General features: G+C 38.8%; 1 protein-coding gene across 3 annotated transcripts in view, besides 1 other annotated feature; it reads left to right on the forward strand.

The window, feature by feature from the left end:
* The window catches only part of ELMOD1 (ELMO domain containing 1), a 75,633-nt gene extending 57,820 nt beyond the window's left edge, over positions 1-17,813 (forward strand). For 2 of the 3 annotated variants that reach the window (NM_001308018.2, NM_018712.4), the window contains 5 exons: positions 1,369-1,437; positions 1,919-1,942; positions 5,206-5,256; positions 6,967-7,100; positions 16,059-17,813. In NM_001308018.2, coding sequence (NP_001294947.1) covers positions 1,369-1,437; positions 1,919-1,942; positions 5,206-5,256; positions 6,967-7,100; positions 16,059-16,231 — 451 coding nt within the window. In that variant the 3' untranslated portion in view covers positions 16,232-17,813. The remainder of the gene's footprint in view (positions 1-1,368; positions 1,438-1,918; positions 1,943-5,205; positions 5,257-6,966; positions 7,101-16,058) is intronic. The other variant, NM_001130037.2, reaches the window with a different exon arrangement.
* Positions 5,153-5,654: an enhancer, noted in NCBI's record as "H3K4me1 hESC enhancer chr11:107524845-107525346 (GRCh37/hg19 assembly coordinates)". NCBI's record gives its function as "activates a minimal SCP1, AML or CMV promoter by ChIP-STARR-seq in primed H9 embryonic stem cells {active_cell/tissue: H9 hESC(primed)}" and the evidence as "EXISTENCE:reporter gene assay evidence [ECO:0000049][PMID:30033119]".
* Positions 17,814-18,218: the final 405 nt, after the last annotated feature.

Below are 18,218 nucleotides of genomic sequence, written 5' to 3' on the forward strand. Positions count from 1 at the left end.
TTTTAAAAGAAGTTAATTAAGCCTTACTCAGTCATTTTGGTGGCATCCCAATTTTCCCATAGATCTTTCCCTTTATTTTAAATTTAAGAAGTTTAATAATCACCCATTCTTTTATGAAACATTTTAATGTAATATTAATGAATGGAAAGTAAATATTAATGAGAAAGACAATGTCACAGATAAGTGGATAAAGTCTGAGCTTTCAAATAACTGGGACAATTGGCCTTCCATTGAGAAAAATAAATTAAATCATTACCTCACCTCAGTTCACAAGTTGAAAGTCCAAAACAAGTCTTTCCTACATTTAGAAGAAAATCAAGATATCTGAGTAAGGAGAGATCTCTTAAAGACACGAGCAAAAAAAGCATCAACTGGAAAAGAAGAATCAATAAATTTCACACATTAAAATTGAAAACTTCAGTAAGATAAGCCCCATAAACAAAGTAAAACGAGATAAGACTGACACATAAATGATAAAGGATCTATGTTCAGTATATTATTCTCTATAAGGTTATTTGTCTTTTTTATTTGAGGACATTTTTAGACGCACTGAGCCAAAAAATATGAACAGACGAGACATAAAAGAGGAAACCCAGATAACTGACAAAAGTATGAAAAGAAACTCAGTCTCACTAACAACTGTGAATATGTGCATTACAATTGCTGACTTGGGTTTGAAATTTCCTGAGAGGAAATTCAAGAACTTCTTTTACCCTTTGGATTGATGCGGGAAATATACACACATCACATTAAATAATATATGCTATTGTTTTATCATTGTCTCTATGAAGTACTTTTTAATGAATCATGTTTGAGGGTGTGCAACTTTTTGTGTTTATTAGGAAACTTAACTACTTTTTCCCCTTAGAATAAAATGTTATTGTTTTTAACATATCTATGCTCAGTAAGATATTTTCCATTCATCCAGAATTCAAATTCCCAATGAATATTTGAAACATATCCTCTCTCATCTCCTCCAGTCTTTTCTTTCTTTCATCATGTCCCTCACCGAGGCTTCTGCCTTCTGAAGGCCTCCAAACACCAAACTATTCGACCTCCTCTTCTATAACCCCTCTTCATAATAAAATCCTTGGTTCTCTGGGTAATGGCAAAGCTCTTAATTAAATTTTCAAAATCTACTGGATACATTCCTAAATCTATGTGTGTTTCACAGCTACCCTACCATGTCATTACATTTGGAAAATTCTGTTGTGAAAAGCTGTTTGTTCCCTGGAGGAGCTGAAACAAGTGATAACCTTATGCCAGTATCCATCTCTGGATTCAAAATGACCTCGAATTGGATTAAAATGAATATATTCAGCGAGTAAGCAAGTATAGAGTTACGGTTTTCTTTCCCTCCCGCTGCAGGTATTTCGCGGAAAGGGATGCCACAGCAGCTCAGCAGGTCCTGTCTGACTCTCTTCATCCGAAATGCAGGTAATTGTTGAAAGTAAAAGATGAATTAGGTTTTATGGGTTAGATCAAATGAACTTCATCTCCTACATGTATCTGTTGATGAGATTCTCAGGAGAGTGAGGCTCAAAGCTTTTTCAAACAAGCCCTTGTAATAAATGCTGAGTTGGAGGGTTAAAACTTCAGGTACTCATTCCAAGATTTAGGATGTAAAGTGGCACCGTTCAGGTGAGATATGTATTTAAAGGGACTGATAGAGTCACCAGTGTCCAGGAAGACTGAGGAGGTGGGCATGGAAGAAGGGCAGGGTCTGGGGGAAAGAGTCCAGAGACAAGAAAGATGATGGGGGAACAGAAGGAAGAATGGAAGTTAAGAAGTCAGGGACCAAGTGAGAACATCTGGAATTACTAAGGCTTTTTTTTTCTTTCTTTCTTGTAAAATTCTAGATTCTAAATTGTTTGCATTTTCATTTACTTTTCTAATTTTTTTCTTTGATTACATGAAGGGATATCACTAAAGAAGAAATAAGGTATTTTTTCTTTGTTTTTGTGTTTTATTGCTTTTATTTTGTCTTAGAATAAGTATGGGTAAGAATTTTTTTAAGGAACTCTGAATTTATTTGTTTCAAAAAGCCAACATTTTCAAACCTTTAATCTAATATAGTTAATTATAGCTGGGCTATGTTTTAACAAACTGAAAACCAGATGAGATTGACCACTTGGAAAATGTCAAACAGTCTTTCTACAGCCATGACGGAACCTGGTTGGAGAAACATTTTGAACACTCACCTAAAGGCTGAACACCTCACCACACCTGTTCTGACTCCATTTACCCCAGAGAGGGGCATTTTATTTGGGAATTCTGTTGCACAGAACAACTTTGCTCCTCTATTAATATATCTAATTTGATTGTTATAAATGATAGTTTTGTGTGTGTGTGTTAGTCACTCTTCTTAGAAGGAGTTCCATTATTTTGCAATCATAGTTTTATATCACTTTTTTCTCCTCGCATGATGGTAGGTTAGTTGTTAGTACTCATGTTTGCTAAGTAAATCCAAAATTTTATCAAAACCATCTCAAGATTCAGGGATAGGTTGAGTTGGGCTTTTTTTCCCCCTCCACCTTACTATTTTACTCATTCTAGCTTCATTTGGCTAAGATTCATTAAGTCATATTACACTTCCCAAATTTACATTTGTAATATTTTATACGATTAAAAATTCATTCCTTTAAGAAAAACACTACAATCATTTAGCTCTTTCTTGTTATATGGTTAAAATCAAGCGATATTAATTTTGTAACTACATCTTCTGAATTGCATATTTCTGTAATGTAGAGACTCTAAACTCCCTCTAGTTAAAATTGGCTGGGGAGTCAATCCATGCTCTCAGGTGGCATATCCTAGAGGAACATCAGTCAGAAGACACGAGTCCTCCGCAGTCCTTGGAAAGTGACAATAAGCTCGCAATATTTCTGATTAACCACTGGAGGGGGACTGACTTTGTCTATGAGTCATTCTTAAAGAAAAGCTTCATAGTTGTATCTCCTGTGTCAGCCATCCAAGAGAAAGTATTTTGAGGTTTGGGGTGACTACTCTTACTTAAAAAGAGACTAGCATTTGTGTGTGCATGCATATATGTGTAGTCATGTATATAAAATTACCACGCTTTATCCCTCAAACTACAATAAAATTGAATCAATAAAGTTCATGTATTAATTACTTCAAACTGATGGTAAATGTCATTGGATACAGAACAGAATGTTTCAAAATGCTACTGTCCTTCACTGATGTCTGATAAAAGTATATATGGATTGATTATGATATCAACGTAGGTTCTGTCAAGCCCTGAATATTTCAGGTGTTCAAGAGAGAAAAGTCAGTGTGTACTAAGGAAAGCTCTTTCCTGTCTATCCTTCAGCAAGCATGACACATTACTGCTCTTGTAAACATCCATTGGTTGAGTATTAAAGTAACTTGAGGGATAAAAGTGGATTCAAGTTAAAGAAGAAAATTTTGACTATTAGTTTGTGTGTGTGTTTGTTTTCTCCCGACAAGGGGAATGCCATCTGTTTGGGCCAGGATATCCTATAAGTATCAAATAAGTAGAGATCATTTGGCCTTTTCTTATATTTCCAATGCAGATAGAGAAATGATTTAATAAATATGGAGACACTGTGTATTTATAAAGCTATGCTGAAGAGAAAATAGGTGCTTATAAATTCTTATATATAAAATTTCTTAAATTGCACACATACCTTATTTTAGTTTGGATATGAATCTTTAAGGTAAAAAAATCTCCTGATCTCCTGATTCCTCTTCAGCTGTTTGGTTTGTTAGCCAGAAGTTACACTTTAAAAATAGGTGGCACGTTTTAATATGAATTAAAAACAGTTATTTTGAATTATAGCCATTTATAGAATAGAAAGTACACATTGTTAAATATCAATTCTGTGTAATGTTTTTGTGGTTGTGTGTTGTGTGTATTATATGCATGTCTTGTAATAAAATCTTTGCTGTGTGTTCTGGAGAACTCTCCTTTCTTCTAGTTAGATAGAGAGAAATTAAATATTCATAATAACTAGTTTTTACATTGTATTGAGTTCAAATGCAAACTACAGTTTATACAATTTATACAAATTTTATATATAGGAATTTATAAGTGCCCATTTTCTCTTCAGCAAAGCTTTATAAATGAATGGTGCCTCCTTATTTGTTAAATTACATCTCTATCTGCATTGGAAGTATAAGAAAAGGCCATATGACCTTAGTGTAAAATACTGAATAAAGGTTACATCAGTCACAGGGAAGAATGGAACATGAGTCCTGCCTCCTTCTATTGGCTGTATGGCAGGGAATGGGAGTGGGGCAGATGCACACAGAGTAATAGAATGTAGGGCACAGTGAGCTGAGATTGCACCACCACACTCCAGCCTGAATGACAGAGCGAGGCCAAGAAAGAGAGAGAGAGAGAGAGAGAGAGAAAGCATTTTCAGAATGCTTCTATGATAGAAATCTTTTTTCAAACAGTCTTATTCAGAAGCTGAAATTACAAAACAAAGATGAAAATGGAGCTGCTGTGGCTTACTGACTTAGCTTAGCCCAAAGAAATACCATAGCACTTATTGGGACAGAGTTTTTAAAACCTGTAAATGCTCCCTCCCTCCCTCCCTTCCTCTCTTCCTCCCTAGCTTCCTTTTTTTCTTCATTCCTTGCTTCCCCCCCTCCCCGCCTCTCCTCCCTCTCCTCCTTTCCTTACCTTCCTTACTTCCCTCCCTCCTTCCTTTCTTCTTTTCTTTCTTTTACTAACTCAATCATTTACTTATCGATGAACATTTATTTGGCATCTACAATGTACCAGGCATCACAAATAATATAATAATATTATTTATTATATTATTATAGTATGGTGAATAGGATAAACACCACTAGGTAAAACCAAACAAAATGCAGTAGGGAATCAGGAGAGAGTGAGGCGACATCTAGTTACCTCACTAAATGTTTCAGGAAGGAGGGGTTTGATCATTAATGATAGTGCAAAAGAATAGCTTAATGTTTGGCCTTTAGGGCTGTCTCCCATGGCTATACTAAAGTGGATAGGAGGTAAATAGCATGGCCTTAAATAATTCCATTTCTGACCTCCATATAAATTGTACTGTGGCTTAACATTTGTTGGATAATTGAGCTACAGACATCTCTGCATATAGTTAACAGTTTTAACATAAGCATTAAAAGAGAACAAGTACCAATTAGAGGTTAAATCTGACTTACTTACTTATTCATTCATCCATTCAGCAAATTCAGCAAAGCAGAATGGGAGAAGAAAAGGATGGATAAGGCAATTGGGTGAGTATGGGATCTCACATGGAAAGATGGTCCGTCTGAAACAGAACCAGAACTAGAACTAGAGTATCATGAAAGACAAGGGTGAAACTCTACTTGTCCTAATAGAAATATACAATCTGGTTAAAATGTTTAAAGTACCCTTCTATATGTTTGTGGATTTATCTGTATGGTTATATGATATTACTTTGCCTATGAACAACTGACAAGGTAGAAAGTTGTAATTATAAGGAAATGATTTTCAGAAATCACTTAGAATTGTGTTTGGGGCCGGGCGCGGTGGCTCACGCCTGTAATCCCAGCACTTTGGGAGGCCGAGGCGGGCGGATCACGAGGTCAGGAGATCGAGACCATCCTGGCTAACACGGTGAAACCCCGTCTCTACTAAAAATACAAAAAATTAGCCGGGCGTGTTGGCGGGCGCCTGTAGTCCCAGCTACTCGGGAGGCTGAGGCAGGAGAATGGTGTGAACCTGGGAGGCGGAGCTTGCAGTGAGTGGAGATGGCGCCACTGCACTCCAGCCTGGGCGACAAAGCGAGACTCCGTCTCAAAAAAAAAAAAAAAAAAAGAATTGTGTTTGGTAGTTTTCTTTTAAGGATTTTACCAAATATTGGGCTATTTGATAAAAATTTATTTTAGTTTTTTTATAATGCCCCATATTATCCAAAAATATTTCTGAATAGAGAATTTTTTTTCTGTGCTGGATTTATATTAGCAGAGAGGATTTAAGAACTCAGGTTCCGTTAATTTTTGGTAAACATGTAAATAAGGAACTAGAAAATATACACTGTGTTAAGATCCTTATTTACATTTTTCTCATCATAAAAGTAATTACAATTTATTATAGAAAAGTAAACAAAAAATCACCCAATCTTATTACTCTAGCATGCTCATGTTAATATTTTGTGGCATCTTATTTTAGTTTCTTTCCTTGCACATCTGTGTATATAATAAAATGGCTTGCTCTATCCATAATGTTTTATATCCTGCTGAAATCGTCTTTAAGAAGATAGTTTTAATCAGGTGTAGTATATTATATGAGATTACCATAATTTATTTTGCTGTCTGTCTTCTTTAGGATATTTGAATAGTTTCCATGTCATTGCCATTATTAAAAATGCTATAATGAATTATATCTATAAAGCTTTGTCCACTTCGGATTTTTTTTCTGTCATATATTTGGAAATAGAAAGGTCAAAGTATATGAACTACCAATTCTCGTGATACTCATTACTGAAATTTTCTGCTAAATTACAAAAGTCAAGGTTTTGATAGGGTGGGGACGGAAGGGTGACCTGCCACTCTGATAATTTAATAGTAAGTTAAATATCAGATTACCCATTATTGAAATGCCTTTTTTTTTTTTTTTGTAAAGTGAAAGCACGTTTACTAAGAAAGCAAAAGAATAAAACAAAAGAATGGCTACTCCGTGGGTAGAGCAGCCCCAAGGGCTGCTGGTTGGCTATTTTTATGGTTATTTCTTGATTATTTGCTGAACAAGGGGTAGAATATTCATGAGTTTTCTGGGAAAGGGGTGGGCAATTCCCAGAACTGAGGGTTCTTCCCCTTTTAGACCATAAAGTGACTTCCTGACATTACCATGGCATTTGTACACTGTCGTGGCACTGGTAGGAGTGTCTTTTAGCATGCTAATGGGAAATACTTATTTCTTCTATGTGACACACAGTTGGTTTTGTGGTTTATACTTTATAGGTACTCATTTGCAATTGTGGGCATCAATATAACTGACCTGGCATATAATCTACTGGTCAGCGGAGCTCTAAAAACCCATTTCTACAATATCGCCCCAGAAGCTCCAACATTGTCTCACTTTCAGCAAACATTCTGTAAGTATCCTGTTGTATAATTATCAATATAGGTTTCTACGCTGGGCACGGTGGCTCACCCCTGTAATCCCAGCACTTTGGGAGGCCAAGGCGAGTGGATTGCCTGAGCTCAGGAGTTCAAGACCAGCTTGGCCAGCATGGTGAAACCCCATCTGTACTAAAAATACAAAAATTAGCCAGGCATGGTGATGCGCACCTGTAATCCCAGCTACTTGGGAGGCTGAGGCAGGATAATTACTTGAACCCAGCAGATGGAGGTTGCAGTGAGCCGAGATCATGCCACTGCACTCCAGCCTGGACAACAGAGTGAGACTCCATCTCAAAAAAAATGATATATATGTATATTATATATATTATATATATAAAAATACATGATATATATAAAAATATATATTATATGTATTTTATATATATAATATAGAGAGAGAGAGAAAGAGAAAGAGAGAGATTTCTGTAGAACACTCCAGACAAGGGTCAAAGCTGAGAGATCTTTGTGATTTGGCTGCTTTGGAGCCTTTGAACTTCCTCTTTTGGTTCTGATTTTTTTGTTTTCTCATTCAAAAATCTACACTTATATTTTCAGGCATGGTAAATTCTTCTCTTTCCTGCTCTTGCATAATCTTCAGTGTATCCCCTTCTGGTCTGACTCAAAGACATCATGGGTGTTTCTCTCCCTCTGATCCTCATGGCATAGCACTTAAGAGTGCAAGTTCCGAAGATAGCCTGAGTTAATTCTCAGATCTATGTTTTAGCAGAAATGAAATCTCCAAGAAGGATTAGAAGATTAAGTTGAAACTCTCCTAGAAAGTAGAACAAAAAGGCATAGATGAAAAATAGAAAATAAAAAAGGTTGTCAAATTAACGGATCACTCTGTGAAGTCTTATATTTGAATAATAGAAGTGCCAGAAAAATAGTGGTGAAAACTAAGGAAGGGGAATCAAAGAAATAAATTAAGAAAAATTTTCAGAACTGAAGTATGAGTTTTCATACCCAAAGTAATAAGCACCTACATAATAGATTAATGTATACCCACACCAAGGTTCTAATCATTGTGAAATTTAATGATACTGGAAAGAGATGACCCCGAAAACTTCCAAAGCTGTCACAATGAATTGGGAATCAAGATGACATTGGACTTCTCAACAGCAACGTTGTATTCTAAAAAATAGAATATTGGCTTCAAAAGTTAAGAGAGACTGGGCACTGCACATCACACCTGTAATCCCAGCAGTTTGGGAGGCTGAGGCGGGAAGATTACTTGAGCCCAGGAGTTTGAGACCAGCCCAGGCAACATAGCGAGACCCTGACTCTACAAAAAATAAAACATTAGCCAGCTGTAGTCCCAGCCACTCAAGAGGCTGAGGTGAGAAGATCGCTTGAGCCCAAGGAGGCCAAGGCTGCTATGAGCTATGATTGTGCCACTGTACTCCAGCCTGGGTGACAGAGCAAGACCCCATCTCAATCAATCAATCAGTCAATCAAAGTTAAGAGAATATCTTTTAAAACTAAGGGAATATGATTTCCAGTTTAGAATTTTACACCCAGTATAACTTACTACCTTACCAATCAAGTATGGGAATAGAATAAAGACAGTTTCTTAATGCAAGGTCGTAAACATTTTACTTCTCTGTACCTTTATCAGGAAGCTTATTTCCACAAAATAAGAGAGTAATCCTAAAGGAATAAATGGGGTCTAGAAAATAGGAAATCTATCCCAGGAGAACAGTGAAGGGAAAGCCCAAAATATCTGTGCAATTGGCTGCAAATAATAAATTTAGATTCTAGAAGGTCAGAAGGCCGTGAGAGAGACTCTTTGAAGAACATGAAATTGACAGAATATTACCATGTTTGAACACATTGAGAAGACATTGGCATATATAGAAGACAGTTTAGGCTTAAATTAAGTGGGAAGCCAGGCAAATAAACAAAAGAAGGCAGTTATTAATACAAAGTAAAGAAAAGGGTGAGAAAATAAGTGACTATGTGGCTGGGGTGAGTGAGCGGGAGCTAAATCTTTATCTCCTATAGAGAAAAAAATTTTTTAATCAAGTAATGGAAAGCATGTTGATTAGAGCTATGAAGATCAATAACCAAAATAATCAGCTAAAAGAATTGAAATGTTGCTTTAGGAAAGCAGGAATTAGGGCAGGAGACTGCTTTTTTTTGTTTTGGGGGTTTTTTTGGTTTTTCGTTTTTGTAACAAGACTTGTTAAACTATTTGATTCTGAACAATGTGCATGTATAACTTAGATAAAAATGAAAAGTAAATTATAAACACATATACTTTACAACTTGTTAATGGAAAATGTAAGTCCCTTACATACATTATCACAGCTCCTGCTTTGATAATTGGATGATTATATTCACTCCTATAAAAATTCTGAGCATCTCCAACAAATATGATTGAGATTTTACTATAGATTAGGTTCTATGCTGAGGAAGACAGGCATTTAAACAAATACTTAAAATGTAGTGGGTCCAGCATTATCTTAAGGGAAACAAAAAAGTCTTTAAAAAAATAAAATGTAGTGGGAAGAATTTAGTGATTGAGGAAGTAAAGGTACTGCTTCTAAAAATTGGAAAAGTTGCCGGCACAGTGGCTCACACCTGTAATCCCAGCACTTTGGGAGGCCAAGAAGGGCAGATCACTTGAGGTCAGGAGTTCAAGACCAGCCTGATCAAAAGGGTGAAACCCTGTCTCTATGAAAAATACAAAAATTAGCCAGGTGTGATGGCGCACGCCTGTAAGCCCAGCTACTCGGGAGGCTGAGGCATGAGAATCTCTTGAAACCAGGAGGTGGAGGTTGTAGTGAGCCGAGATTGTGCCACTGCACTCCAGCCTGGGCGACAGAGTGAGACTGCATCTCATAAATAAATAAATATTGAAAAAGTCTGTGGCTGCCTTAGCTCACTCAGCCTGGAAGTCAGGGAAGTTTCTCCAAAGCAAATGCCACTTTTGAAGAGACCAAAAGAATGAGTGGCAGGAAATAAGGCAATGGTGGCTGAGTGGTCCGGTGAAGGCCATAAAGCAAAAGAGTATGTGGATTTAAGAAATAGAGCATAGGGTTTGCCGGGTGGTGACTAGAGATGGCACTGGAAGCCTAAGAGCAGGTTGGAGGGCAGTCCTGAAGAGCTCTGTAAGCCACGTCAAACAGCATCAACATCCAGATAAAGAAAGCCTCTTGCCGTGTTTCCCTGGCCCCTTATACTTGCCCTGTTCTGTATTTACCATGCTCATTAGAGAAATCAGGGAAGTAGTTTTGAGGGAAGGTAGAGTGAGTTTAGTTTTAGGCATACTGAGGGTGAGCTGTTCTTGGGAAATCCATATGGAGCTGCAGAGTGGGCATTCTCATAATGTAGGGCTCTGGAGTGCTGAAGGATTAGAAAGGCTCTAGCTACAGATTTGTGGTTCATCAGCACCTGGGAGAATATCAGAGCCACACAGTGGGGGAGCACTCCCAGGAAAGAGTCAAAGTTAGAATCATAAAGAATTGGCATTTAAGGGCAGGTTTCACTGCTGTATCCTCAGCACAAAGCCTGGTACAGGGTAAAGGTGCTCAGTAACTAGAGGGGGGTTGGGTGGGTGGGTGGGTGGGTGGATGGATGGATGGATGGATGGATGGATGGATGGATGGATGGATGGCTAAAATACTGGCTGATGTTTTTTGCAGGAGAAAGGAGAGTCTAGTTTCTGTGGGAAATTTTCTCCTTAGGCCAGGCGCGGTGGCTCACACCTGTAATCCCAGCACTTTGGGAGGCTGAGGCAGGACCATCACTTGAGCCCAGGAGTTTGAGACCAACCTGGGTAACATGGTGAAACTCCATCTCTACAAAAGAAAAAAGTATTAGTCTTGGCCTGGATTGATACGCTTCCAAGAGAATCCTAGCCCAGATGAGCAAGTATGCAATAGGATTACATATTTCCGAAGGCCCTCATCAGGTTTTGGAAGCAGCAGCAATCCCCCTATGGATTGTGGTGTATGTAGGCAGAGGGGCTCAGGCCTCTCTAAGGGAAACAAACTGTGCCCTAGATTCATTGTTCCTCAATCAGACATGATCAGTTCTGCACGTCTCCTGTGTAATATTCTTGCAATTACCTGTGTCCTTGCATATGTCTCTGCTCTCTACTAACCAAATGCAGTGAAGCAAAACCAAGACATTCAAGCAGCAACAAATATGCTGCAGGCTGGAGTCAGAGAGCCAAATTAGTATTCAAAACAAGTATTCCATCTAGGTAGAAGAATAGAAGAATATAATAGCTCCATCCTTCTGACGTTACAGTATTATTCGGTGAACACTGAGCTGCCAAGGTACTATGTTACAAAAATTGCATTCAGTCTAAAGCTCCACTGAACACACAGCCCCATTGAAATGGAGTGAGGTTAGGTGTAATGAGCAGAAGGGAAAGTACAAACGCCAGAAGGGGAAAAGCAAACTATTTTTTTCTTTGACCTCCAAAAGAAGGAACTATTCCATAGGAATAAGAACCAGAGGAACAGAATGTACTGGAAAAGGCAGCCTATTGCCGTGGTGAAAAGTCAGCTGGTTTCAGGCCCTCGTTTCCAGCTTCCAGCTGTACCTGTTATTGTAGACCATTCAAGGAACTCATCTAAGCCCAATATCTGCATCTGAAAGATGGAGATGTAATATCTGTGTTACCTACTCCACAAAGCTGTTGTAAGAATGCAATGAGATGGTGGAAAATAGCCTGGCCTCTGTTTTCTCCCTCTCCTTTCCATGCCACTTTGTTAGCTTCCATAGCGAACAAATCATCAGCTGCAATTATACTCCTGTTTGCCTCTCTCCAATAGACCCAGCATTAGGGAGCACAGGAAGTCTGCCTTTTTCTTCATCTGCAATACCTAGTACTGTGTCTGTTTCATATTTGTTCATCGGCAGATGAGTTAACTGACAGATCAGACCAAATGAATTTTTGAACACTGTAATTTATATAAGTGAGTGGAGCTTTATGATTATAATATGCACCTTGGAAGCCAGACCACCATTTCTGCATTTTGATTAAGATCATGTTACACAGTCTTTACTTATTTTCCTGATGGGATAGAGAAAGAGAGTCCCAGGGAATCAGTCTTCAATCTTCGGAGGAAGAATCCTGAGCATGGCGTCAGATTGTGAGCCAGCCCCTCCTCTACCCTTACCCAAGCCCTTTAAACCTTTCAAGATGTTTTTCTATAATTGTGTGTAAGGTAGGAAAATGGGGAAACCAAATGAATCCACATTCTTCTGTAACCGTGCCACACTACATCACCTTTAGAGTGAGTTGCCAATATTCCAGCACATTGTAGAAAGGTGAACATTTATGTATATTGCAGAAAAATGAATTCTTCATTAAAAGATGATTTTTCATATTGCCTGTTTATCATTGTCAACAGGAGAAAAGATGCTGTCACTCATGAAATACTAATGAGATGCATTATCGATTATTTTAATTCATAGTATTGGAAACCTGACTCTATGTACAAAATAGATGTGTTTATTTGAGCTCAGAGACCAGTCAGGAAAATTTATGTATGTATTTTATATAGTAAGGAAAGAAGGATTTATAAATTATCATAGATTTATTTTAGAACCATAAAAATTATATTTAGGAGGAAGCCAAGGAAACTTTCTTTTTAAAAAGAGAATCTTCTTGACCAAAGTTCTCAACTTTAGTGACACAAGTTTCATCTTATTGAATTGCAAGTCTGGTTAAATCTGGGAGGATCTGCATTTTTTAACAAGTACCGCAGATCATTCTTGGAATATTTTAGAAGTTTGCCCAGTCACTGAAATGGACAGGTGATTGAATTCTTTTGGTTGGTTGAATAAGATACTGAGATCAGAGGAAACAAGTTTCTGTTGATGTGCACATTTTTCCATACATAGCTAGTATGACAACCAGATGACAAACAGTCTCCAAATCATGGCATATGAGAAATGATGAGGAGAAGCAGTGAAAGAGAAAAGCTCAGGGCATAAAGCACACTTCAAACACTTGAGTTGGGGAAGGATTGAAGTTGTTCTGTGAAATACAGGGCAACAGATTTAGGCCCAGAATGAGGAAGAACCTTTATTTGTTTGTTTGTTTTTTAGAGACAGAGTCTCTCTCTCTCTTGCTCAGGCTGGAGTGCAGTGGCACCATCCTAGCTCACTGAAGCCTCAAACTCCTGGGCTCAAGTGATCCTCCTGCCTCAGCCTCCCAAGTAGCTGGGACTACAGGTGCAAGCCACCATAGCTAGCTTATTCTAAAAAGTTTTTTGTGGGCAGGCACAGTGGCTCACGCCTGTAATCCCAGCATTTTGGGAGGCTGAGGCGGGCGGATCACTTGAGGTTGGGAGTTCGAGACCAGCCTGACCAACATGGAGAAACCCTGTCTCTACTAAAAATACAAAATCAGCCAGGCGTGGTGGCGCATGCCTGTAATCCCAGCTACTCAGGAGGCTGAGGCAGGAGAATCGCTTGAACCCGGGAGGCAGAGGTTGTGGTGAGCCAAGATCGTGCCATTGCACTCCAGCCTGGGCAACAAGAGCGAAACTCTGTCTCAAAAAAAAAACAACAAAAAAAAACTTTTTGTAAGCCAGGCGTGGTGGCTCACACCTGTAATCCCAGCACTTTGGGTGGCCGAGGCAGGTGGATCACTTGGGGTTAGGATTTCAAGACCAACCTGGCCAACATGGTGAAACCCCATCTCTACCAAAAATACAAAAATGAGCCAGGCATGGTGGCACACGCTCGAATTGCTTGAACCTGGGAGGTGGAGGCTGCAGTGAGCTGAGATTCGCCACTGTGCTCCAGCCTGGGCAACAGAGCGAGACCCTGTCTCAAAAAAAATTTTTTTTTTTGTAGAAACGGGGTCTTCCTGTGTTGCCCAGGCTGGCCTCAAACCCCTGGCCTCAAGTGATCCTCCTGCCTTGGCTTTCTAAAGTGTTGAGATTACAGGTGTGAGCCACAGTGCCTGGCAAGAAACAAGCTTTTAAGAATCAGGTTCCTCATCCAAGGAACAAACCGTCAGTGTTGTCACCAGAGAAGTTCAAGCCTGAATGCTGCCTCCGGGAATCCAAGCATCAGATGAAGAGAGACAGAGGAGATGGCTTCTGGGGTGACTGATACTTCCCGATTTGGGCCTTTTCTGATGTGTTCAGGTTCCCATGACAGTGATAGTGGGGCCCTGGCTTGTGTAACCTCAAGGCCAGTAGGGTGATGGTTGGTGTGTACCCTCATCAGAAATGTTAAAAACAGTCAATTCTAGTGTGTGAAGGGCCCAAAGGCAGGCTAGTCCTAAAAGAAATGGCATAAGCCAGGCACAGTGGCATGTGCCTGTAGTCCCAGCTATTTGGGTGGCTGAGGCAGCAGGATCACATGAGGCCAGGAGTTCAAGGACAGCCTGAGCAACATTGCAAGATCTTTCCTCTAAAAAATTAATAAACTTAAAAAAAAAAAAGAAATGGAACAGTCAACCCAACCCTCCTTCTCCTATATTTACAGAGAGACCACATACTTAAACAAATATAAGCATGCTTAACAATGCAATGAGACAAGTAACCAGAGGGAAGGGTCTGTGGAAGTGGACCAGCAGCCGGCCATGTGTGTTGGGGGCAGTGAAGGTCACTCCTAATTTTGTATTAAAATAAAATATGAGTAAAGATTTTTAAAAATGTATGAAATTATGTTGAGCATTTTTCCATACATAGCTAGTTACTAGAAAAACAAAAAGTATTGATTTTTTTGTACTATTAGAATTAAGTGTGTTTATTCCAAATTCTCTTCTCATCCTCCCCTTCCCCATTTTCATTTATGCATGCAGGTGGAAAAGCAAGGATTCAAACCAGGTTTCTGGCTCCAGAATCCTGTCTTCTATTTTCTACCTCCTTCTAATGTTAAGACAAAGAAAATTTTGCATAATCTTTGTTTTTCTTTTGTCTTCTTTTTCTCTTTTTGAGACAGGTATCACTCTGTCACCGAGGCTGGAGTGCAGTGGCGCAATCACAGCTCATTGCAGCCTCGACCTCCTGAGCTCAGGTGATCCACCTCAGCCTCCCAAACAACTGGGACTACAGGCATGTGCCACCATGCCTGGCTGTTTTTCTTTTTTTAAAACTAGGATTACTTCCTTAAGTACTTTTCTTTCTAACACATAGAGACACCTGAGCTTGTAGTAGTTTACTACCTACAAGTATCTAGTATTAAAAAAAAAACACTATGCATATTTCAATACTAAATGTGGTAGATAAAAATAATTAAACAAATGTGGTAGTGGGAGGGGGCATAATGGGGAACAAAGCACAATGAATAGGTTCTTATATCAAATACTTAACATTTATTCCCCAAATTGTTTCAATCCAGATCACTCGTGGATAGCATTTTTGAGACACCAAAGGATTTGAATATGAAATTATTGCTTCAGAGCAAGGAAGTCTTATTAACAATTTCATGTGGTTTAACGACCAGTCTGTGTTGTTCAGGGTTGATTTACAATTTTTATTGTCTCATAATAGAGTGTCAGAATGCATTTGTTTGATTTGTCGGGGTAATTTAAAACTTTAGTTACATCAAATATCAAGAGAATAAAGTCCGAGTGGAGTGATTTTGAAAAGTTGGACCGTCACATTAATTTAATTAGGAGGAGAAGGATGAAGTAGTCACTGTCAGCCTTTCAGAAAATGTTCCCGATGCGATTCATACTCAAGAGATGGCAGAACTGATTTGTCTTCCTGCTTGGGAAGAGTGAGAATGATTCCAGGGCCAATTGCAAAAAGCTTGCAGATTGGTAGGCTTCAACTGCACTGATTTTAAAGAATAATCTTAAACAGTGGTATTTTCTAGATTTTGAGGTCTTCTTTGAGCTCCACGGTTGCTGTGGCTTGGTTCAGCATCTTCCTCAGCATTCAGAATGATTTTGAATGTGATTAAGGATTTTTTTTTCTCCTGCATTCTTATCATTGTATTGTCTCCAACAGGCTATTTGATGCATGAATTTCATAAGTTTTGGATCGAAGAGGACCCCATGGACATAATGGAATTTAATCGTGTGAGGGAGAAATTCCGCAAGAGGATCATCAAACAGCTGCAGAACCCAGACATGGCGCTGTGCCCACATTTTGCTGCCTCGGAAGGTTTAATCAACATGTAGTTGCCCACGCCGGTTTTAATGGATACCCTGGAACACTGCCTCATTGTCTTGTTAGATCTCTGCTTAGGTCGCAGCTCACGCATTGAATGCACACAGTGATTGTATGCATGCCTTTTGGTACAGTGTTTTCATCTCTTGGTCATAATTCCGAGATCCCCAGAGACCACTGTTTCTGGAGTATCTGTCATCCAGTGACTGCTCATATTGTGGCATTATGCAGTGTTACATCTTGCCTTGATACCCAGGTATGGAGAGAGTTTTCTATTTTTTTAGACTTTTTTTCCTCTCCCTCATAATTCAGCATTAAAGAATTGTATTTCTCTAGCTGTATTTTGTATGTAAGAGGTTTAGCTGAATCTCATTCTGTGAAAGCCTTTTAATTTATTGAAATGTTTCATGACTACTGCTGCTAGCTCTTCAAGCCAGGTTCATGCTTGGACCTCATTCTGATAAAGTATAAGACTTTAAAATAATACAAAACAGGGCCGGGCGCAGTGGCTCACACCTGTAATCCCAGCACTTTGGGGAGCTGAGGCGGGCGGATCACGAGGTCAAGAGATCGAGACCATCCTGGCCAACATGGTGAAACCCCGTCTCTACTAAAAATAACAAAAATTAGCTGGGCGTGGTGGTGGGTGCCTGTAATCCCAGCTACTCGGGAGGCTGAGGCAGGAGAATCGCTTGAACCCGGGAGGTGGAGGTTACAGTGAGCCGAGATCATACCACTGCACTCCAGCCTGGCGACAGAGCAAGACTCCATCTCAAAAATAAATAAATAAATAAATAAATAAATAAATAAATAAATAAATAAATAAATAAAATAGTACAGACAGACACATGATAAGCCAAACTGTTCCTGCAAACATAGCTATGCTTCATGAGGCTTACAAGAAGTAACTTTAGGTAGGAGCTGTTTTTGTTTGAAGTACTGCAAAATTATATTGTAACTTCCCCTCACCCCAGTTGCAATTGTGTCATAGTCATCTGTATATCAAACTATTTTATTCCCATAACTTCATTGGCTTGGATGCCTAAGTGTATGATGCTTGAAGCCTCAGAAAAGAAATAAGCATATTTCAAAAGCTGCAAAAGGTTTTTCACTGCCTGCCTCTTGCGGAACTGGGTTACACCCTGGCACTGTTCTGATCCAAGCATATTTGCTTGGGGAACTAAGTGCTGACTAGTTTGTTTTCTATGTCAAGGGGCAATATTAAAAAACAATTTGCAAGAAAATGTGTTTCAAGAGAGCAACCTAAGCTAAGTCACTCTGCGATATTTCTTGAAAATAACGACCTTGTCTTGTATCAGTGGAAGAAGTAAGTTGCTTAGAAAGGGAAAAGTCAAATTGTTCCAGAACTGCTAAAAATCATTTTAAAAACCATGATTTAGTTTGGAATTATGATTGTAGTCTGTTGAATAGTATTTACCATGGCATTTCATACCCATGGTATTTTATACCTTCTGACTATCAATTTTAGTATTATTAGATGTTTGTGTAACCACTTGCTTATTTAAATGAATTTTGAGTACTGCCTAATTGTCAGTTATATGAATAAATTACATGTCATTCTACTGTAACGTATATTGGATTTCATATTAATATTTTTGTGCTCGTACAGCTTCTGAATATGCAAATATGTGAGTGAATGGAATGTCAAAGACAGACAACCTGGAGCTGACTATAAATCACACCATCATTCAGAGTCAGCAGGTTCACAACTTCCTAGGAAACCTGGCTTGGCTGTTGCTAGATAAAGCAGAAACATTAACTACCCATTGTTTTCTTGGCCTTTCTCTCCCTTCTGCGTTTGTATTATCCTTTCCTTCTGCGTTTGTATTATCCTTTCCCTTTCAGCCATGTACCAGGTGGCAGCATTTTGCATTGCCTTTCTTATGGTCCTGTGTCCCTTCTTAGAATGCGGAAGGGAAAGAGTTGATTAGCACATGGTGGATACCATGAGTAATGACAAGAATGTATATTCCTCTC

The sequence above is a fragment of the Homo sapiens genome, chromosome 11, assembly GCF_000001405.40.
Source record: "Homo sapiens chromosome 11, GRCh38.p14 Primary Assembly".
NCBI classification, from domain to species: domain Eukaryota; kingdom Metazoa; phylum Chordata; class Mammalia; order Primates; family Hominidae; genus Homo; species Homo sapiens.